This window comes from Homo sapiens, chromosome 5 (assembly GCF_000001405.40).
Source record: "Homo sapiens chromosome 5, GRCh38.p14 Primary Assembly".
NCBI lineage: Eukaryota > Metazoa > Chordata > Mammalia > Primates > Hominidae > Homo > Homo sapiens.
The window spans coordinates 69,349,550-69,372,470 of NC_000005.10; the positions used below are offsets into that span (position 1 = coordinate 69,349,550).

The window sequence follows — 22,921 nt, forward strand, 5'->3', positions numbered from 1 at the left end:
TCACGCCATTGCACTCCAGCCTGGGCAACAAGAGTGAGACTGCCTCAAAAAAAAAAAAAAAAAAAAAAAAAAAAAGGCCAGGCGCGGTGGCTCACGCCTCTAATCCCAGCACTCTGGGAGGCCAAGGTGGGCAGATCACGAGGTCAGGAGATCGAGACCATCCTGCCTGACATGGTGAAACCCCGTCTCTACTAAAAATACAAAAATTAGCCGGGCGTGGTGGCAGGCGCCTGTAGTCCCAGCTACTTGGGAGACTGAGACAGGAGAATGGCGTGAACTCGGGAGGTGGAGCTTGCAGTGAGCCGAGATTGCACCACTGCACTCCAGCCTGGGCGACAGAGCAAGACTCCGTCTCAAAAAAAAAAAAAGATGGGATCAAGCAGTCATGGTGTTCTCGATGCTGGAGGGCCTACTTGACCTATCACCAGAAGGTGTTGCTGCTTTGTAACCAGGCGCTGTACCACCTCAAGCCATGGTGCATCCAGAGATAAATAATGGTATATTTTGCCTGTTTGATGAGAGCCTGGTTTGAAGAGCATAGGAAAAAAAAAAAGGGTATGATGGAGGCTACCCCACTGCTGAGGGAGGCAGAGGAATTCTGGTATCGTCAGCATTCACAGCCATTCTCTTCCCTGACTCTCTGGGGGTACTTCCTATGAGAGATACGAGTGATATGCTACAAGTCTCTGGAGTGGTGCTTAGATGACTGGAATCCTTCTGAGAAGGCAATGTACCCTGATTACTTAGCCAAGAGAGAGCAGTGGAAGAAACTGCTGAGGCAAAGCCAGGAGTGAGAGGTTAAGCAGCTGCAGGAGGAAATCCCAACTGGTGGTCTAGGACTGAAGCTTTGCCCCCTGTGGTGGTATATTGTGACCAGACCCCGGGAGTGGCCCATGTAGAGAGACAGACCTCACCCTGTCATGCCTGCAAGTGAAGTAAGTTACAGAACATACACACACACTTAGCCTAATAAAAATCGCTGAAATGGTAAAAATCAACAAATATAGACCGTAACAAGTGTTAGCAAGAATGTGAAGAAACTGAGTCCCTAATACATTGATGGTGGGAACATAAAATGCTGCAACCACTTTGGAAACCAGTTTGGCATTTCCTCAAAAAGTTAAACATGGTTGCCCTATGACCCAGCAATTCCCCTCCCAGGTATATGCCTAAGAAAACTGAAAACATACATCCACATGGAATCTTGTACATGAATGCTCATAGTATGCTACTATTATGTATTCAACTTCACAATACCCAAAGTGGATACAACCCAATTGTGCAAGTGATGGAAACATAAGCAAAATGTGGTAAATCCATATAATGGAATATTATTCAACCATAAAAAGGAATGAGATATTGGTACATGCTATAACTTAGATGAACCTTGAAAACATTATGCTAAGTGAAAGAAACTGGACACAAAAGGCCACATACTGTATAATCCCATTTATATGAAATATCCAGAATATGCAAATCCATAGAGACAGAAAGTAGACTAGTGACTGCAAGGGGATGAGGAGGAAAGAATAGAGAGTGACTGCTAAAGGGTATAGGAGTTCCCTTTATCATCACTGCTTCCTCCACAGTGGTGACAGTTACATAACCTTGTTAATAAGCTAAAAACCAACGGATTATAAATTTTATTTATGTTTATTTTTAGAGTCTAAGGTCTCACTATGTTGCCCAGGCTGGTCTTGAACTCCTGCCTCAAGCGATTCTCCACCTCAGCCTCCCCATTTGCTGGGATTACAGGCATAAGCCACCATACCCGGTTCTGATTATACACTTCAAAATGGTAAATTTTATTGTATGATATGTATATCTATCTCAACTAAAAAAAAGAACAGGGAGGTCTGTACTGAGATGATATAATCTTCAAATATAGTAAGTGAAAAAAGAAAGGTACAGAATAGTGTGCATAATATACTGTTATATTCTTTAAAAAATGTACACATGTACATATACACTGTGCAGGCATAAAACCTCTAAAAAGACATATAGGAAACCAGTAACATTATTTCCTAAAGGGAAGGAACCTGGGGTGCCTGGGGATAGGGTGGTCTGGAAGGGAGACCTAACTTTTCAACATGCTCTTTTGTACCTTTTGAACTTTGTATCGAGTACAACACTTAACTTTTTTTCTAATTTAAAGAAAGAAAAAAGGAATACTCTGTTGCTTTATCTTTAGTTTTATTTTAAGAGATCATCTGCATTTTTTTCTGTAATAAACTTAAAAGATATCCACCCATTTTGTCAGATTTATTTATTCTTTAGCAATTTAAGTATTAAAATCACAGTTTTTGTCTCAATCCTTAATAATACTATATTCATTATATTTCATGTTTAGCTTTCTCATGGAGAAAAAGAAACACAGGCATAAACCTATATACTATCCACCTGCTGGTTCTGCAACATGATTTTAATAAAGTGTTACTGACACTTGAACAATTTCTATGATGTCGGCAGAGATATCAACAAGAGTGATTATTAAGTAGCTAGCCTTATAAGTCAAGAGTTATGATCTTTGATCCACTGCTCAATCCATTTCAAGATCTGATCTACATTATTTTCTAGCTCTTCTGGTTTATTACTGGGCAGCTGATGCACGATTTCTTCCTTGTAGGATGCTGTGGCTTCTTCATAAAGAACTTGAAAAATCTCACACTGAATATTGTCTGTTAGTTTCTTCTCATTATAACCCCTAGAAGGCAGGGAGGTTAAGCAAACAAGAAGCAAAATAAATGGCATTAACTGGAGTTTCAGAAACATACCAGAAACTGGACACTTTTCAATACGTGAAAAATTACAGAAATGGTCTCTTCACCTAGAGAGGAGTGACTGGTACCTGTTTATATGACACAGTTTCTTGACACTAGGGTGAAACTAAAGATCACCAAACCAGCATCTAGGTTTGTTTGAATTTCCCCCCCCCACAATTTGTCAGCTACTCAATAAATTCCCAATGAATTAGTAAATTAGCAAAATCTCATAACTTAGTAATAAAAAGATTTGTAACCCAATTAAAACTTAAGCAAAGAATCTGAGTAAATATTTCTCCAAGGAAGATACACAACTGTCTAATAAGGACATGAAAAGATGTTCAGCATCTCTAGCTGTATAGGAAATGCAAATCAAAATTACAATGAGATATTACTTCACATCCAGCAGGATGACTACAACCAAAATATGAACAATAACAGCTGTTGGTGAGGATGTGGACAAATTAGAACCCTCATACACAGTGTGAATATGAGATGATGCAGCCACTATGGAAAACAATCTGGCAGTTATTGGAAGGGTCAAATACAAAGTTTCCATATTACCCAGCAATTCAATTCCTAGATATATAAACAAGAGAAATAAACACATGATGTCCACACAAAAACATGTGCAAGAATGTTTATGGATACAATATTCATAACAGCCAAAAAGTGAAACAACCCAAATGTCCACAACCTGATAAATGTATTTTAAAAATGATACATCCATACAATGGAATATTATTTGGCAATAAAAAGAAATGAAGTACTGGTCTATGATACAATATGAATGAACCTTGAAAACAAACTAATTTGACAGGAGACAGGCATAAAAGTCCACATCCTGTATGATTTCATTCATATGAAATATCTAGTATAGACAAATCCATAAAGACAGAGAGTAGATTATTGGTTGCCTAGGGCTGGGGAACTGAGGGTAAATGGGGAGTGACTACTACTGGGTATGGGGTTCCTTTCTGGGGTGACAAAAATTTTCTTTTTTTGAGACGGAGTCTTGCTCTGTCACCCAGGCTGGAGTGCAGTGGTGTGATCTCGGCTCACTGCAACCTCCACCTTCCGGGTTCAAGCAATTCTCCTGCCTCAGCCTCCTGAGTAGCTGGGATTACAGGTGCAAGCCACCACGCCCAGCTAATCTTTGTATTCCTAGTAGAGACGGGGTTTCACCATGTTGGTCAGGCTGGTCTCGAACTCCTGACCTCATGATTCAGCCACCTTGGCCTCCCAAAGTGCTGGAATTACAGGCGTGAGCCACCGCGCCCACCCCCAAAATTTTCTAAAATTGTTTGTGGTAATGATTGTACAACTTTTTGATATACAAAAAAACAAATGAGCAACTGATATATACACCTACTATGTACCCATAAAACTAGAAAAAAACCTGAATTATGTACTTTAAGTGGGTGAATGTAAACTAAATCTCAATAAAGTGGATATTTTTGTTTTTTGGTTGCTTTTGAGACAGGGTCTTGCTTTGTCAACCAGGCTGGAGTGCAGTGGTGCAATCACAGCTCACTGCAGCCTCAACCTCCCAGGCTCAAGCATTCCTCCCACCTCAGCCTCCAAAGTAGCTGGGACCACAGGTGCATGCCACCACACTTGGCTAAATTTTTTATTTTTTGTAGAGACCAAGGTCTTGCTATGTTGCCCAGGCTGGTCTCAAACTCCTAGGCTCAAGCAATCACCTTGCCTCAGCCTCCCAAATTGCTGGGATTACAGGTGTGAGGTGTGAGCCGTCCTGCCTCCCCCTCACCACCCAACCATGCCCAGCCTAAAGCTGTTACTTTTTTACAACCTTTTCGATAGTTAAAAATACTAACTAGCTCTCTCATAGTTTTTTCATACCTTAGTCTTACCCTTGGCTATATATGTAAAACAGTAATTTTTTAATCAAAATTTTAAATTGTCTTGATTGAAAAAAAGCATATGTACCATATAGTCTCTATTACTTCTCTGCCCCAAAACTTTTAATGGCTTTTCACTGCCTAAAAAAGATAAAAGTTTTAGGTTTAGCCCCAATTTAACTTTTTCTATATGTATATTTGCTGCCATACTATTCTGTGCAAGGATTTACAAGTATTGCAAATAATAGTGGTTAGTCAGAGTTGACTATAATCAGTGAAAACCACACATTCTGACCCCGACCTTAAGCAAAATTCTGGAGCTTTCCTTTCTGAGATTGCTCTCTAATTTCTCTAGAATCCCCATATTCCCACAGCTTTGATCAAAAGACAGTGGGGATAAAAGACTTCCCTAAAAGTTTCTCTTTACTGGTTCTTCCGCATTAAATCTGATGCTCTATTTGTGGGTTTAACTCGGTATCTATTAAAGACTGTGAAATGCTGGTTTATTTTGTTAGTTTTTCATAAGCTTTCCCACTCCTGATGCAGGGATAATTTGAGTGAGTAGTGTTCAGTCAATAAGCAAAGAATATGTTAGGGGCTTGGCTGTTTTCCTAGCAAGGGTTTACATCAAAGAAAAAGCATGGCTAAATAGGGTTTCTTTTTTTTGTTTGAGACGGAGTCTCACTCTGTTGCCCAGGCTGGAGTGCAGTGGTGTGATCTCAGCTCACTGCAAGCTCCACCTCCCAGGTTCACGTCGTTCTCCTGCCTCAGCCTCCAGAGTAGCTGGGACTGTACAGGTGCCTGCCACCATGCCCGGCTAATTTTTTTTGCATTTTTAGTAGTGACAGGATTTCACCATGTTAGCCAGCATGGTCTCGATGTCCTGACCTTGTGATCCTCCCACCTTGGTCTCCCAAAGTGCTGGGATTACAAGCGTGAGCCACTGTGCCCGGCCGACTAAATTGGGTTTCTACACAGTACATTTTACTCAATCAGATTGTCAGTTGAGATATTAATTTACTCAAAAAGTACTGCCCATATTTTAAAGTAGTCATATTTTCAAATAAAACCCTTTATTAGCTGGGTGCTATGACTCACACCTGTAGCCTCAGCACTTTGGGAGGCTGAGGTGGGCAGATTGCTGGAGCCCAAGAGTTCGAGACCAGTCTGGGCAACATGGGAGACCCCATCTCTACAAAAAATAAAAAAATTAGCCAGGCAAGGTGGCATGTGCCCGTGGTCTGTTAGTCAGGAGGCTGAGGCACAAGAATTGCTTGAACCAGGGAGGTGGAGGTTGCAGTGGACCGAGATCACACCACTGCCCTCCAGCCTGGGTGACAGCGAGACTCTATCTCAAAAAAACAAAACAAAACAAAACAAAACAAACAACAACAATCTTTTATCATGGCCAATTTCAGAAATCTGAATAAAAGTTAACATTATGCTTTAAGAATCTAATGTTTTTCCTTTCTTACCTTGTTTCAAGTCTTTCGTACAATACATTGGTATCTGTTCTCAGCACAAAAACTATATGAAACCAGCGTTCAGGGAAGAAATCACAACCATGGTAATCAACAATAACTCCACCTTCTCTCATTTGGTTATCTAACTCATCAACTACCTGTAAGAAAAGTTTAAAAAAAAATGCTTCTTAAGAAAACTGAAGTCAACTTTCCTATGAAATTCAACAAATGCATACTTTATGAAAAAGTCATACTTACTCTGTCTTCATCTAAAATGGGACAGTCATACTCTTCATCATAGCCATCATACAATTGCTCTAAAAGAGATTTAGAATTGCTTGTTGAAATATTTTCTAAGTAACTTTAAGTAATTTTCAATTAATTCTAGACTTCAGGAAAGGAAATGTATCATCAATTATTCTTTTAGATACAAGGGTGGATACTAACAAAATAAATGTTACATAAACACCAAATATAAAGGAGCCATACTAACTGATAAATTGGAATTTTGTTTAGAGGGAAACTTGGATTGCAATATATCTGAAACTGCTTTAAATATCAAAACTGAAACCAACTAAAAAGAGTGAATAACCAACTTCAGAATTTGTGGGGCTACTAGAAGAGGACTACACTATTTTTGTTGAACTACAGATTGGCGGGAAGAGGAAACACCTGAACAGATACAAACACACTCACATACATTTAAAAGCAGATTAATTTATCAAAAGCAGTAACAGGCCAGGCATGGTGGCTTTGCGCTTGTAATCCCAGCCCATACGAGGTAGGAGGATCTCTTGAGCCCAGGAGTTCAAGACAGCCTGGGCAATATGTTGAGAACCTGTTTCTACAGAAAAAAAAAAAAAAATTAGGCAGGCATGGTGGTGCACACCTGTAGTCCCAGTTACTTGGGAGGCTGAGGCAGAAGGATTGCTTGAGCCTGGGAGGTGGAGGTTACAATAAGGTGAGATCACACCACCGTACTCCAGGCTGGGCGACAGAGCAGGACCCTGTCTCCAAAAAGAAAGAAAGAAAAAAGCAATAACAGATTCTTTATTCCAGAAATGAACCCTCTGTCACTGAGCTCACATCCTCATGGGAATAGAGAAGGGTCAGGATCCAAATGCTCCTGAACAGTATCTTTACTTCTAGATTTCCAGTATTCCAAACTGCCGTTCCTCATAAGAGTTAAATAGTCTCATTTCAGAAGGCAAAACAAAAATAACGTTCAAAGTTACAAAGGAGGCAAATTTAAATTTAACATAAGAACTTTCCAACAAATCACAGCTGGTTTTCAAAAGAAGTATTCTTTCAGGAGGTAAGACATACCATCTTACCCTTAGCCCCAGCCCTTAGGAGGTATTAATCTAAGGCAAGCTCAGATCATCCATTAACCATCTCTGAGAGCATGTTATATAGCAGTCTTCCCACCTCTTTCCCCTTAATATTTTGGTACGGGTTGAAATGAGGTTAAAATGAACATAAATTCTGAAGGGACACAGGAGTAGTCTGATGGTCACTGCGGGGGCAGTCTGATGGACACTGGAGGGCACAAAAGCAGTTGTAACTCCTTGTCTTGCCTGGAGGGTCTGTGGACTGATTCTAGGCACATAAACCACCTTTCTAGCACTCTAGTGTGGCCTCTGCCTCCTTGGGCTATTGCTCACCTACCAGGAACTCTACCAACCTAAAAAATTAAACTGTCTTGGTATGAAGAAAACTGGTTAACAATTTAGAAAACAATCTAAATCCTTACTTTATACCACAAACCCCAGATGGAGCTATAAAGGAATGATTCATTTGAGTTTGTTGAGTAGCAGAAGAAATAAAAAGACTGATCCAGTTATTTAAAATGTTGACTCTCTGTTCCTTGAGAAATAATCAAATTCTAAGAAAAGTAACAGAATGGGAGAAATAACAAAGGACTGAAATGTAGATAATATAAAGACCTTAAAACCAAAATAACAATTGCTCAATAAACAAGAAAAGAATTCACACAAGATGGAAGAGTGGAAAAAATCAGTAAACACACATGAAAAAATACTGAATTTTCCTAGCTATTAAAGAGATGCAAATTAAAATGAGTCTATATTTATGCCTGTTATATGTTCAATCCATTTAGATATTTACACTACCATTTAATTTCTAATTGGACAAAATTAGAAAATAATAAAAAATGTTGAACAATAAGAAAAGTTAAATCTTGATTTACCAACTTTATAACTTTATAAAATATTATGTAATTAATTTTGTAAAAATTATGTAATTAAAATTAATAAGTATTAGAGTTATAGTATTATAGTTAACATAGTTTAAAAATACTATGTAGTATAGACTAGGCAGCAACATGATAAATGCTCACATATACAAGTGTAAAACACAAAAAGCAGAATTCAAAGTTGTCCTTACTAGGGACAAAGATTAGAAGAAAAACAAAAGCTTTGGAGTATTTTTCCATATACTATTTTTACAGTATTGCATATTTTTTTAACAGTACCACAAAATCTAAGAATACCTATAGCTGATTCTGTACTATGTGGTAATCTTGAATAGATAAACACGGAGGTTCCTTCATACTTTAAATCTTTGACTTTTAAAAGATGACTCTGGCCGGTGCGGTGGCTCATGCCTGTAATTCCAGCACACTGGAAGGCCGAGGTGGTTGATCACCTGTGGTCAGGAGTTGAGACCAGCCTGGCCAACATGGTGAAACCCCATCTCTACCAAAAATACAAAAGTTAGCCAGGCGTGGTGGCGGGTGCCTGTAATCCCAGCTGCTTGGGAGGTTGAGGCAGGAGAATCGCTTGAACCCGGGAGGAGGCTGCAGTGAGCTGAGATCGCGCCACTGCACTCCAGCCTGGGTGACAGAGCAAGACTCTGTCTCAAAAAAAAAAAAAAAAAAAAAAAAAGAAAGATGACTTGAACCAATATATGCTGTCTAAAATAGATGTGTTAACTTTTAGGATTGAAGTCTTTATTTTTTTTGAGACGGAGTCCCAGAGGCTATCAAGTCTACTGCAGATTTTTAGGTAAGTGATGATTGTAGCCTGTACCAGAGAAATGAACGGATCCTAAACTTCATTTCAAATTTCAAAAAAAGAATAAATTTTATGCTACTTTAGAAAGTTTCAATTGGAAGCCAAATTTATACTTGCCTATACATAGGATCTTAAGCAAAGATCAAAAAGGTTGATTTGTTTAAGGACTGAGAGATTAGAAAATTAAATCAACTTTCTAAACAAAGTTTTGCAGTTTATTTTTTTAAATTCCAGGTACAGATATATTGCTTGCAGAAAAAAAATCAATTGTGGGGCCAGAGTTAAAAGGGTGAGCATGGTGGTTCGCGCTTATAATCCTAGCACTTTCAGAGGCCGAGGTGGGAGGATCTCTTGAGCCTGGGAGTTCGGGATCACCCTGGATAACATAGCAACACCCCACCACTACCAAAAGAAAAAAAAAAAAATTAGCCCAGCATGGCGGTGCCAGCCTATAGTCCCAGCTACTCTGGAGGTTGAGGTGGGAGGACTGCTTGAGGCTGGAGTGAGCCAGGATTGCACCACTGTATTCCAGTTAGGGTGACAGTGATACCTTGTCTCAAAAAAAAAAAAATTTTTTTTTTTTAAATTTTGAGACAGAGTTTCACTCTCGTCACCCACGCTGGAGTGCAATGGCATGATCCTGGCTCACTGCAACCTCCGTCTCCTGGGTTCAAGCAATTCTCCCGCCTCAGCCTCCCAAGTAGCTGGGATTACGGGTGCCCGCCACCATGCCTGGCTAATTTTTGTATTTTTAGTAGAGATGGGGTTTCACCATGTTGGCCAGGCTGGTCTTGAACTTTTGACCTCAGGTGATCCACCCGCCCTGGCCTCCCAAAGTGCTGGGTTTACAGGTGTGAGCCACTGCGCCAGGCCCCACAAAATTTTTTAAAGCTCATTCTTACCTTAAAAAACCTTCCCAGCTGCTGCTGTTTGTCAAACTGTAAAATCATGACATTATGTTTAACTGCCATCCTAGAACTTATATACACTCAAGTGAAAGCTGTTCTTTAATCATATTGGGATGCTGGTTGTTTTGACACTGCTGCCAATACTTAAAATTTTTATTTTCATATTTCTTCTTTTGAAAACATATTCACCACATTTACCTCAACTCAACAAGAAGCTGATAACTCTAAAGCAATTAGAACAAGAAATTAACTGGTTTAGAGTGATTGGGTGCCTTTAAAATACCTGGCTTTTTATGCGAAAAGAAAAGGGCAATTAATTCTGCATAGTGAAGTTAGACAGCCAAAGATATGACATTGGAGTTGGGCCTCCAAGGAGTTGTAAGGAAGATAAGGAAACCTATAAAGAGAACAGCATGCATAAATACTCGAGGTGGAAAATTCCTAGTGAGAACAGGGTATGATGGCTGCACTGAAGGGGACATAGGGGAGAGAACGGCTGCAGGTAAACTGTGGCCATTTTATAAAGAATCTCCTATATTTCCTGAAGGAGAATGGACTATGTGAGTAAAAAGTTCAAATCATGTCATTCTCCTTCCCCACTTTTAAGAAAATGATAGTGTAGAAGAGGGAAGAAAGAGATACTGAAGAAGTCAAACAGGAGATTCTAGGTAGGATTCTAGGCACAGCACCAGGGGTCTTGATGAAATAGGGGTACTGTAGGGATGTGTAGGAGAAACCGTCAAGATTTAAAGGCCAAGTGGATCTGTGTGGAGAGAGTGAATGTGTATTTATATGCTTGGGAGGTAGAAATCAGAGGAGTGGGCAAGTATAGTCAAGGATGCTTTCAGAGCACGTGCTTTAAACATACTAATTTAGAGCTGTAAACATCTGGGAACTATCCAGATGGTTGTCTAATAGGTGTCTAGAAATTGGGTTGTTTTAATTATAAATTTAAGTCATCAGCACAAGGGAGTGAATAGTCCTGAATGAGTGAGATTACTAGTGGGAGGGGCAGAATTACAATATGGCTGCAATGAAATCATGGGGGAAACAGGTGGAAGGGGAAAGACCAGAGGCAAAGATAGGGAGAGAGCAGTGTCAGAGAGGTCAATAGAGGAGTTAGTTTCCAAGGCTTCCAGTGGGAGTTGATAAGGGGAGAGAAAAATGGGATTCAGAAAAGGATAGAACAGGGATCAGCATTTTTTCTTTCTGTAAAGGGCCAGGTAATACCTTACGCTTTGCAAGCTAGTCTTTAGCTCAGAAGTCATACAAAAACAACAGTAGCTTGCCAACCCCTAGGTTAGAGATATATCAAGATTCTAAGTGTTCAAGCCAAGCTATGCTTTACAATTTCTACTGGAAATGGATCCAATGTCAATATATTACTTCGTCTAGACCTATGGGTATTCTGCAGTTAGGAACAGAGGCCGAAGACCGAAAAACTGCTGCCAGGAAAATTAAGGATGCTAGTAAGAGTATAAAAATGATTGTATATAGGAAAGGGTATCAAGTGAGGAGGAGTCTTGAGACTGGAAGAATAGCAATAAGAGAAGCACTCTTACAGTCATACCACAGTAAGACTCTTTTTTTTTGAGATGGAGTCTCACTCTGTCGCCCAGGCTAGAGTGCAGTGGCGCGATCTTGGCTCGCTGCAAGCTCTGCCTCCCAAGTAGCTGGGACCACAGGCATCTGCCACCACGCCCGGCTAATTTTTTGTATTTTTAGTAGAGACGGGGTTTCACCGTGTTAGCCAGGATGGTCTCAATCTCCTGACCTCGTGATCTGCCCACCTCGGCTCCCCACAGTGCTGGGATTACAGGCGTGAGCCACCGCGCCCGGCCCACAGTAAGACTCTTTAATAGTTTTCTTTTTTTTTTGAGACGGAATCTCTCTCTGTCACCCAGACTGGAGTACAGTGGCATGATCTCGGTTCACTGCAACCTCCACCTCCCAGGTTCAAGTGATTCTCCTGCCTCAGCCTCCTGAGTAGCTGGGATTACAGGCACCCTCAGCAACGCCGGACTGATTTTTTTTTTTTTTTGAGACTGAGTCTTGCTCTGTCTTGCCCAGGCTGGAGTGCAGTGGTGTGATCTCGGGTCACCGCAGCCTCCGCCTAACGGGTTCAAGTGATTCTCCTGTCTCAGCCTCCCGAGTAGCTGGGATTACTGGGGCCCACCACCATACCTGGCTACTTTTTTGTATTTTTAGTAGAGATGGGGTTTCACCATGTTGGACAGGCTGGTCTTGAACTCCTGACCTTAGGTGATCCACCCGCCTCGGCCTCCCAAAAGTGCTAGGATTACAGGCATGAGCCACCATGCTGGGCCAAAGTGCTGGAATTTACAGGCATGAGCCACCACCCCCGGCCAGTTTTCTTAAACTTGATTCCCTTTTTTTTTTTTTTTTTTTTTGCCTTGGTTTTGGGAGTGAAGATGACCTCTCTCAACTACTACTGCAATTCCACATGATCACCAGGATGATACTAAACTTTTAGAAATAAGTTTAAAATAGGGTTTTCTTAAAAGCTTTCTTTTTTTCCGACTTTAGTGAGCATCGGAATAAGCCTTATTTCTTTACAGCAAGATTTCTCAACCTTATTACTAATGACATTTTGAGTCTGGTAATTGTTACTAAGGGAGACAGGGGACTGTCCTGTGAACTACAGGATCTTTAGTAGAATCCCTGGCCATCACCTCCCCCTCCATGTGACAACCCAAAATGTCTTCACACATTGCTATACCCCCAAAGGGCAAAAATCACCTAGTTGAGAATCACTTCATTATAGATGATTGCCTGGTTTCCCTTAAAAATATATCCCCACTTGAAATAAAAATGAGGTTAGTTGCCCCAGAATATTTCCAGATATATTCAAACAGGATCTGGGTTAAAAAATCTGGTATGTCAAACCTTACAAAGTACCTCATCAGGCTGGGCACAATGGCTAACACCGGTAATCCCAGCACTTTTGAGAGGTCAAGGTGGGAGGATCACTTGAGCCTGGGGAATTGGAGACCACCCTGGGCAACACAGTGAGGCCTTGTGTCTGTAGTCCCAGCTACTGGGGAGGTTGAAGCAGGAGATCACTTGAGCCCGGGAGGCTGGGGTTGCAGTGAGGGGAAACTGTGCCACTGCACTCCAGCCTGGGCCACAGAGCAAGACCCTGTCTCAAACAAACAAACAAAAAAACCCCACAAAGTACCTCCATCAAACTCCATGTCAAGTCAGACCAGAAATCTTTTATCTGGCATTACAGGAGGGGGAAAAAATACTTTTCCTTTAAGACTTAGATCCCATTTCATGAAATAATCTCACTAATAACAAAGAGGATGGGTGGGACTATACACAACTGACTAAAATGGTGTTGAGTACTTGAGGTACAGTGGCTCTCGTCTGCAATCCCAGCACTTTGGGAGGCTAAGGCAGAAGGATCATTTGAGCCCAGGAGTAAACCAGCCTGGGGAACAAAGCCAGACCCTGTCTCTGCAAAAATAATTTTAAGTTAGCCCGGCAGGATGGTGTGTGCCTGTAGTCCCAGCTACAAGGGAGGCTGAGGCAGGATGATCACTTTAGCCCAGGAGTTCAAGGATGCAATGAGCTATGATCAGGCCACCACACTCCAGCCTGGGCAACAGAGCAAGACTCTGTCTCAACCAAATGAAATGGTTTAAGTACTGGTAGGAGAGGACCCAAAGAAGAGGAAGACAAGTGCCTTATACTGGATTGTCCTTGGTCTGGTGTCACCATTGCTCTCAATGCTATTAATGCTCTAATTAGTTTAGAAATGTTAAATTGAGTGAAAGTAACATTGGAATGCATGAATGAAATTGACTATTATGTGACTCAGAAATCACTTGTCAAAAATGGTGGTGTTCAACAGTGAGGAACAAAACCACATTTCATATAGATATAAAACAGAAAGGCCGGGCTGGGCGCGGTGGCCCACGCCTGTAATCCCAGCACTCAGGGAGGCCAAGGTGGGTGGATCACGAGGTCAGGAGATCGAGACCAACCTGGTTAACACGGTGAAACCCCGTCTCTACTAAAAATACAGAAAATTAGCTGGGCGTGGTGGCAGGTGCCTGTAGTCCCAGCTACTTGGGAGGCTGAGGCAGGACAATGGCGTGAACCTGGGAGGCAGAGCTTGCAGTGAGCCGAGATTACACCACTGCACTCCAGTCTGGGCGACAGAGGGAGACTCCGTCTCAAAAGAAAAAAAAAAAAGGAAAGGCCAGGTGAGGTAGCTCACACCTGTAATCCCAGCACTCTGGGAGGCCGAGGTGGGCAGATCACTTGAGGCCAGGAGTTCAAGACCAGCCTGGACAACATGGCAAAAGCCCATCTCTACTAAAAATATAAAAATTAGCCAGGTGTGGTGGTGCACACCTGTAATTCCAGCTACTTGGGAGGCTGAGGTGCAAAGATAGCTGGAACCTGGGACATAGAGGTTGCAGTGAGCTGAGATTGTGCCACTGCACTGCAGCCTGGGCAACAAAATGAAATTCTGTCTCAGGAAATAAAATAAAATGAAATGGAAAATGAGTAGTTGTATGATAGCAAATAAAAATCTAGGTTTTAGAAACTATAACCTTGATAAATTGACGTTCTTTTGGACAAAAAAATATTTTAAATTAAAAAAAATATATATATATATAAACACTATAACCTAATTATCAGCCCTGGATCAAAAATGAACATGATACTGGCTTATAGTATCAGGAATATGAAAAACAAAGATGCTCAAAATTAACCTGCAAAAAGAGACACTTATAAATTTTTTTTTAAAAAGTGGAGACATACTGGGAGACACTAAGGGTCCTTAATATAACCAAAAGGACAGAAAAATGGGACCTAGGAAGTTGGGCAATTGAGGAAGATAATCAAAGCAGGTTAAGAATTCACTATGAATAAAAATCCTGACCAACTGGTCTCTCCAAAGGGGAGTCATGGTTATACTTCAGCAATCTGAGAGAACAGATCACAAGAGTGACGTACACACCAGAGATCATACTATGATCTATGTATCTGAAGACGTTTAAGGTGACACTCTAGTGGTCAAAAATAGACTGCAGTACTGCAAATTGCTGCAACTGCCAACTGTTACTCCTCTTGGTGACAACAAGGAGAAAATTGCTTTTAAAAACATAACTGCCAAAGCACCAACAATCGAATGAATGACAACTTTATTTTTCTTACACTTTTAAGGCTGATGAAAAACCTTCATTTCAATTGAAAAGTATGGTAACTGTGTTTACTCATTATTATTAGTTTTCTAAAACACAACTTGAAAACATCCAGCATGCATGTTTAATATCAGTACAATGAATTCAAGACCAAGTATACATGTTACATTCAGCAAGGCTAGATTACAGATTATCATAGTCATCATCATCATCATCGTCATCATCATCATCTTCACGTTTTCTTTTCAATGCATTTGATGATTCATTGGCAGTATTTTGTGATGACATCATATTAGTGGTAATAAGAATGTTTTTGGACCCGATTAATGATGGATTAATCAGAACATTCTGAACTGCTGAGGTTGCAGGAATTGAAGCTTTTACAGCTGGAGACTGAGAAGTAGGCATCTGTACTGTAAACCTTTGACCTGTGAGGGACATGGGAGTCCCTACTTTAGTTGAAACAGACATGGTCTGTGGGGTTGGTGTGCCTAGTGTGGGAGTACTTGGTCTGCTAGTAACTGAACCAACACTTAACCGCGGGACTGTTATTCTTCCCGCAGAAGTTGATGCCTTTTTCTGTAAAGATTTCAGCCTATAGTTTGGAGCTGTTAAGCAGTATCTATCAGGTGGCAACCTAGGACCTGAATATGGCTTGATCAATGGCAAAGGGGTTTGATTTCTTTGCCTTGCAATATCTAATAAAAAATCTCTTGGGGGAGGAGAGGTAAAAGACTGATCAGCGCGGCACTGGATTGCCAATCGCACATCATCTGCATCAACAGTAGCTTTCTTAGCATGGCTTGAATAAATTTTTGCATCATCTAGAATTGTGGTCACATATCGGAAGGCAAACTCCAACATCTGATTTATAACTCTTGGCTCATATTCTGTAATCCCCATATCCTTCAGGATTTGTGCCATCATCTGTGCATCTTTCGGCATGCTCTTGGGAGAAGCCGTCTTGCCAGACTCCATGATATCCGATGATCAGACTTTAGATCATTTGAAAAAAATATGTACATTAGATCAATCTGAAATAGTTACTTTAGTAGCAACTGTCAGGAACTTAAAAAAATTTTAAATCTATGTTAAACTGTAAAAAAATTTTTAAAATTTAAACCATATGTTTTCTTAATTTTAATGAGGCAACTTAAGGTCGCTTTAATTTATTGAGTTCCTACCATGTACAAATCATTGTCGACTATAAAAAGATGAAGACACAAATAAGGGAGCGATGAAAGATTAGGGGAAAACAGGGTAAAATAAATAAAAACAATGATCATCTTAGAATATATGCAGTTGCATGCAAATCTCACACTAATCTAAGATACCATAGCATAGTCAGGTCCCACACCTGAGCTCAAAACAGTCTCTTTCCAGTGAGACCAATATACTCACTGTGCTCATATATATGTTTAGCAGTACCAAACCTTTGTTTGTTCAACTTAAAAACATTCTCCTTATTCACATTCTACCTATCCGAAATCCAGTCTCTTTATAGGAGCCTTCCCAACTATTCACAAGAATTGCCAGCCATTTTGAAGGCGGAAGGGAAAATGGTCAAAATAACCAGGACATAGCATTAGACACTTAATATTTCTGTGGATTCCCTAACAGAGTATATATTCTTTAATGGCAATCTCTGTTTTTTGTACCCTATGACAATACCCAGCACTAACACTCCACTTACCAGACCTTAAAAAAAAAACAAAACAAATCTAACACCAAAGTGTCCCTTACCTTCTCGAGCTAAATCACCCACATTAATGTATTTCAGTCCTGATTTTGACGCAAGTTCTTTGCCTAGTGTGGTTTTTCCAACCCCTGGTGTACCTGTAAGACAAGCCACAGAAAAATACTGTTTGTGAAATACTACTTATCACACTGCGGTCCACCTTCTGCCTTTCCTTTTATTTTTGAGACAGAGTCTCACCTGGCCTCTGCCCTTAAAAGTTCTTGACGACTGAAATGAAAAATTTCCTAATTAGCAATCATATGTAAAATTTTTTTTTTGAGACAGAGTTTCACTCTTGTCGCCCAGGCTGGAGTGCAGTGGCACAATCTTGGCTCACTGCAACCTCCACCTCCCAGGTTCAAGCGATTCTCCTGCCTCAGTCTCCTCAGTAGCTGGAATTACAGGTGCCCACCACCATACCCAGCTAATTTTTGTATTTTCAGTAGAGACCGGGTTTCACCATATTGGCCAGGCTGGTCTCAAACTCCTAACCTCAGGTGATCTGCCAGCCTCGGCCTCCTAAAGTGCTGGGATTACAGGCGTGAGCCACCATGCCTGGCCATATGTAAATTAGCATGTACTACGATCTAATAAAAATTTTCCAAAGCTAACTGAATGTCAGAATATTACCCAGTGTATTGATTCTCCAGGGGTGGGGCTCAGCAGATTCTGACGCCAATTCAAACTGCCTGCTGCTACCGGGGAACTGCTGAGAATAAAATTAGCCATCTCGTGCTGGGCGCAGTGGCTCATGCCTGTAATCACCGCACTTTGGGAGGCCGAGGCGGGCAGATCACAAGGTCAGGAGATTGAGACAATCCTGGCCAACATAGTGAAACTACATCTCTATTAAAATACAAAAATTAGCCGGGCGTGGTGGCGCGTGCCTGTAATCCCAGCTACTCAGGAGGCTGAGGCAGGAGAATCCCTTGAACCAGGTAGTTGTAGGATGCAGTGAGCCAAGATCGCGCCACAGCACTCCAGCCTGGCGACAGAGACTCCATCTCAAAAAAAAAAAAAAAAAAATTAGCCACCTCGAATCAATTACAATAATTTATTTACCTTTTTCTTTTTTTAAAGACAAGATATCTCTTTGTTACCTAGGCTGGAGTGCAGTGGAACTTGGCTCACTAGAGCCTTTACCTCCTGGGCTCAAGCAATCCTCCCATCTCAGCCTGTCCGGTAGCTAGGACCACAGGTATGCACCACCATGCCCTGGTTAATTTTTGTAGAGACGGGGTTTGGCTATGTTGCTTAGGCTAAGCTCAAACTCCTGAGCTCAAGCGATCTCCCCACCTCCACCTCCCAAAGTGCTGGGATTTACAGGCATGAGCCACCCACCTGGCCTATTTGCTTTAACTTATAAAGATTTAAAAACTGTTCATGGCCACGTGTGGTGGCTCGCGCGTGTAATCCCAGCAATTTGGGAGGAGAAGGCGGGAGGATCGCTTAAGCGCAGGAGTTCGAGACCAGCCTGGCCAACATAATGAGACTCTGTCTCAAACAAAAACAAAAACAAGAACAAAAACAAAACTGTTCATGTTAAAATTAAGCAGTCTGAAAATTACCTCTACTGACCCCTTGCGCCCTTCCCTAGAGATAACCACTGTAAACCAGTTTCCTTTCCCAAAGAAACCCTATTTATGTTTGCATGTAAATGTACATATATGTACATACTCTTTGTTATATAAATACAACACATATTCCCTTTTACATAAATGACAATACTATATACATTGTTCTTTACCTTCCCCTTCTGATACCTATTAAAATTACATTTCAAGATCATCAAATTCATAATTTTCAGCTATTCAGATTTAACATCCCTGAAATTAAACTTAAGCATAAAGATAACAGGGATAATCCAGTTCCCATACCCAGGAGAATAACGGTCACCTCAAGTCCACTATAATACACCAAGTCTGAACCCTGGACTCAACATGTTTTCAATAAAATGTTCACTTTAAAGTTTTGACAATGACTTAATAACCAGGGCACTATGTTTGATCCATGCAAAAAGATGTAAAATCTTCCGCTTAAGGAATCTAAAATTCTAAACGTTATTTGTGGGGTGGTTAATCTGCACCTCTCAGAAACAGACATGTCTTGTGCGCTGCCAACAATTTTACCTTTGGGTGAATGATGTAACTTTACTGTTCCCACAAAGAGTCTTAATTTTTCTGTACCTTGCAATAAAATCTACATGCATTAGATTTTTCCACGAATGGCCTACAATTTGATAAACACTTTCAGGACTAAACGGCTAGCAAAAATATTCGTTAAAGTCGTTATGCAGCATTTTAATTCCCTTCACTGATAACATGCACCCTGAGTATGGCTTCAAAGACCCACTCCTACGCGAGAAACGACCCGAAATGCTCTATATGCCTTCCTTTTAAGGGGCGGGGGGATCCTTTGATGTAACTCAACAAAAGCATACAGCAATTTCGTCACGTCACAAACATCTGAACTCGTTTACCGAAATCTAATCTGAGGCGTTTATCAGAAGCAAAGAAAAAATAAAATACGGCCCACGGAGGCCTAAGGAGTGAGGCATCCACCATTAATGACTCTACCGGGAAGCAGATATGGCCTTACGTTATTTCGCTAAAAATCCCAAGGCCAACCCTGCCAAAGAATCAACAACCCATTTTACAAACGAAATACCAGATTCAGAAAGACTAAGCAGGTTGCCAAGCTGGAGAGCTGGATCTGCCGACCTCTCTCCACCCCCCCCCGCCCCCCCCCGGAGCCTCAGGCCAACGGAATTAACGTTCCGCGTCCCCTCCCTCGCCTCCCGCAACGCCCGCGAGGGTCGGCTCCCGGGGCGCTGACAACCGCCTCGTGGCCCTCGGCCGGCCTCTGAAGAGGGCAGTGAGGGGCCCCCACCTGGGCGCCCGATGCCCAGAGCACTCTGCGCCCCCAGCCTGCCCCAGCCCAGTCCCTCCCGGCCGCGCGCCCTGACCGGTGAGCAGGATGTTCGGAAGCAACATGGTCCCCGCCGCGACGGCTTCGGGCGCCTCGCTCACGTGCCCTTTGCTCTACAGGGAGGAGCCGGAAGGGGCGGGCGGCAGCAAAAGCCCACGGCCCCAAAGGCCCCGAAGCCCACCGCGGCGCCCCTAGCCTGCCCCGGCGGCCCAGCCGCGGCCCACTGGTTACCTGGCTTTCGATGACACATTTCCGTCGCAAAGTTGGAGGGTGGGCATAACTCGGGTCGGTACTTCGGGTCAGGCAGTGCGCTGGATGCCTAAGTCACACACTCCTTCGGTGGTCCCCGCCCTTCGCTTGCGCCGACCAGTCTGGAAGGTCCCCGGGAGGCCGTACCTCCGAGAGGCTCGGCGTTGAGCCCGGGTAGGGCCAGGTGGCTGCCCTTTCACCTAGGGTAGTCCCTGGTCGCCTCCGCTCTTCGCCTAAAAGGGGATGCAGCTCCGGGAAAGTAAGGCCGCCGCGGTTGCGGCTATATTATGTATATGTCTTAGAGACGTGAGTCTATCTCTGCCTTCAAGCTTTCCTGGGCTCTCGTCGCTCCTCCTCCCGACCCGCCCATCCCATCTGGGGATGAGAAGATTGAGGGTGCAGAGCCCTGTCCTGCAGCGGGGATTTGCGAGCTCAACCCGGCACCCCACTGATTACAGGATTACGTTGGACGAATATTTGAGCTTAGTATTCCCTGTTCACTGTGTGGGGTGGTGGTGGGTCGGCTAGGAATAGTCTTGAAGGTCTACCTCTGACATCTCATTTCAGTAACCTCGCATCTTCAGGGACAGTTATCTGCTTTTTAAAGGAGGTAATTGTCAATCTTGTTTTCAAGAGTGAATAGAGACCTGACCGTGACAACAGTCTGCACCTTTTTTTGTTTGTTTGTTTGTTTTTGTTTTGTTTTGAGACGGAGTCTCACTCTTGTCGCCCAGGCTGGAGTGCAACCTCCGCCTCCTGGGTTCAAGTGATTCTCCTGCCTTAGCCTCCAGAGTAGCTGGGATTACAGGCGCCCACCACCACGCCCGGCTAATTTTTGCATTTTTAATAGAGACGGGGTTTCACCATGTTTTGGCCAGGCTGGTCTCAAACTCCTGACCTCAGATGATCCGCCCGCCTCGTCCTCCCACGGTGCTGGGATTACAGGCATGAGCCACCGCGTCCGGCCCCTGGTCTGCATCTTTTATTTCGAGCTACAAACTATATTTACTCAAATAGGTGTTTTTTTTCCACCTGTATACCTTTTGAAACGTCACAGTCTCTAATCGTGAACGATTTGGGGCGGAGGGCTGAACAATGTGTTTTCTAGTGTGTCGAGGTGTTTATAGGCTATGTGTGCCTCCAAACTGTAAAGTAGTCCAGTATACTTTCCAATGTATAAGTTTGTAGACCTTAAACTTTTCTTCTGGCTAACTTAAAATCGTTGAATTCACTAGTTTGCATAAACATTTAAGAATTTGAAAACACGGTTGAAAAACAGTGTTACCAAGAAATTTTGTAATAACATGTTCAAATGAAGACAAAAATTTTACAGTTTAAGACTTAAATTCTTCGTCCACAGCAAGTGAATTCATGGTATTTTACTTTTTTGGGAAATACTGGAAATGAAGACCTGCAACTGTAATTTGAAATAAGGAAAACTTTAATTTTCAGTATAAAAATTGCTCAAATAGAATTGCCTGATTTTAATGACAAAAGGTAAGTACATAGTATGTGTGGTTTTTTTGTTTTTTTTTTTCTAATACATCATTGAGTTCATGTGAAAAACTCTTAACACCACAAGTAGATTATTTGATACAGTTATAGTCATTAAAATTATTTTAGAATTTTGATTTCTTGTATCACTTAAATTTACTGTTCTTTTTCACTAGTTCTTGAGCCTTTATTGTATTGTTGATTATATCAGTATACATTTATTACTATAATTGGGCATTTACAGTTTTTCTTCATTTGAGGGCTTCTTCCCCCCCCCCCCCCCAGGTGAATTATAGTTTAATGTACTGCAAGTCCTAAACTACGGATGGGAACTATTACAGTTTATAATGTCAAAAACTTTTCTTAGACCAAAGGTATCTTCCACAAAGGTATGATACACTGGAATGGCCATGTAATAATTGCCTTAAAATAATTATAAATTTTTATATATATTCTTAATAACTTATTACTGCTATCAAAGTAATAGAGCCGAGTATCTATTGTAATTAATGATTTAAGCAAGTCTGGTAATAAGTTGTGAAACAAGTGTTCTCTAAAAGCACAACCTTAATTTTGAAAAAGTGTTTTACAGTCCCAGTCACAAAGGCTGAAAACATTTGAATGAAAGAACATAGAAGAGAGAAATATGAGTGGTAGTTGGTGTTATAGCTTAACCAAAAGCACTGCTTCTTAGAAGTAATGTAATTCAGTGTGTGAGTTCTCAGCAAGATAGGGGTTAAGGTGGGATGGGGGTCAGACAGTTTCATGCATGCAGGGTAGCTATTTCCCTAAGTGGTAGCTCTAAATTTTCTTTGATGTTAAGTAAGTTACTTAACTTTGCTGTTTATCTTTCTCTTTTTTTCAGTATATGGGAGTCCACATTTATGTAAGAAATGAAACTATAAAATGTATAAATAATTTGCAAATCAGAATTGCTGTCGAAAGTTTTACTATAATGAAAGATATTTTCATACTCTCAAAAATATAGAGGAAAGGGGCCAAGATTATAGTACCAGTCACAATCTTTTGATGAGGACGAAATGAATCAGGTAGCTATGACTAAAATTTTTTCCAGTGGTCTTCCTTTTTTAATCCACTGCCGATAATATTCCTAACTCTGTCTTAAAAGAAGAGTGAAGTGTGACTTAGCATTCGTAAAGTATTTATAAGCCCCAAATTGTCTCCCCTAAGCCTACTTTCAGCTCCAACTTCTGGTTCATTTTCTTCAAGAGAGGAACATTGTCTAATAAATAGCTCAACTGTGGCTGAGTATTCTTGAAAGAAATATATAACTTGGTTTCT

At 41.5% G+C, this 22,921-nt stretch overlaps 3 protein-coding genes and 1 pseudogene across 21 annotated transcripts in view, besides 1 other annotated feature; 2 read left to right on the plus strand and 2 right to left on the minus strand.

Annotated features, from left to right (window-relative positions):
* NDUFB9P1 (NADH:ubiquinone oxidoreductase subunit B9 pseudogene 1) lies at positions 387-896 on the plus strand (annotated as a pseudogene).
* AK6 (adenylate kinase 6) lies at positions 1,435-20,275 on the minus strand. Of its 2 annotated transcripts, none has more exons than NM_001015891.2 (5): positions 20,108-20,275; positions 16,954-17,046; positions 6,346-6,404; positions 6,100-6,245; positions 1,435-2,704 (listed from the first exon to the last, which is right to left on the minus strand). In NM_001015891.2, exons 1-5 carry the CDS (start codon positions 20,124-20,126, stop codon positions 2,512-2,514), a joined length of 510 nt encoding a protein of 169 aa, NP_001015891.1. In that variant the 5' UTR covers positions 20,127-20,275; the 3' UTR covers positions 1,435-2,511. The 2 variants fall into 2 exon arrangements, with proteins under 2 accessions (NP_001015891.1, NP_057367.1); NM_016283.5 differs by lacking the exon at positions 20,108-20,275 and adding an exon at positions 19,914-19,971.
* On the minus strand, positions 15,194-20,275 carry TAF9 (TATA-box binding protein associated factor 9). 2 transcript variants are annotated; one of them, NM_001015892.2, is made up of 3 exons: positions 20,108-20,275; positions 16,954-17,046; positions 15,194-16,205 (listed from the first exon to the last, which is right to left on the minus strand). In NM_001015892.2, exon 3 carries the CDS (start codon positions 16,186-16,188, stop codon positions 15,394-15,396), a length of 795 nt encoding a protein of 264 aa, NP_001015892.1. In that variant the 5' UTR covers positions 16,189-16,205; positions 16,954-17,046; positions 20,108-20,275; the 3' UTR covers positions 15,194-15,393. The 2 variants fall into 2 exon arrangements, with proteins under 2 accessions (NP_001015892.1, NP_003178.1); NM_003187.5 differs by lacking the exon at positions 20,108-20,275 and adding an exon at positions 19,914-19,971.
* The window catches only part of RAD17 (RAD17 checkpoint clamp loader component), a 45,509-nt gene continuing 42,331 nt past the window's right edge, over positions 19,744-22,921 (plus strand). For 2 of the 17 annotated variants that reach the window (NM_133342.3, XM_047417461.1), the window contains exons 1-3: positions 20,269-20,384; positions 21,486-21,622; positions 22,485-22,668. In NM_133342.3, coding sequence (NP_579920.1) covers positions 22,660-22,668 — 9 coding nt within the window. In that variant the 5' untranslated portion in view covers positions 20,269-20,384; positions 21,486-21,622; positions 22,485-22,659. Of the gene's footprint in view, positions 19,916-20,268; positions 20,385-20,510; positions 20,736-21,155; positions 21,623-21,904; positions 22,009-22,484; positions 22,669-22,921 lie in introns of those variants that run through there. The other 15 variants (NM_001278622.1, XM_047417462.1, NM_133338.3 and 12 more) reach the window with 14 other exon arrangements.
* Positions 20,523-21,072: an enhancer, noted in NCBI's record as "H3K27ac hESC enhancer chr5:68665899-68666448 (GRCh37/hg19 assembly coordinates)". NCBI's record gives its function as "activates a minimal SCP1, AML or CMV promoter by ChIP-STARR-seq in naive H9 embryonic stem cells {active_cell/tissue: H9 hESC(naive)}" and the evidence as "EXISTENCE:reporter gene assay evidence [ECO:0000049][PMID:30033119]".

Bases quoted from the DNA above. Each gene is read 5' to 3' on its own strand.
- AK6 (NM_016283.5), bottom strand. From the start codon at position 19,941: ATGTTGCTTCCGAACATCCTGCTCACCG. The intron at 17,047-19,913 runs GTCAGGGCGCGC...CTTGTCTTACAG, and splicing joins TCCGAACATCCTGCTCACCG to GTACACCAGGGGTTGGAAAA. The intron at 2,705-6,099 runs GTAAGAAAGGAA...CCTGCCTTCTAG, and splicing joins TACGAAAGACTTGAAACAAG to GGGTTATAATGAGAAGAAAC.
- TAF9 (NM_001015892.2), bottom strand. From the start codon at position 16,188: ATGGAGTCTGGCAAGACGGCTTCTCCCAAGAGCATGCCGAAAGATGCA.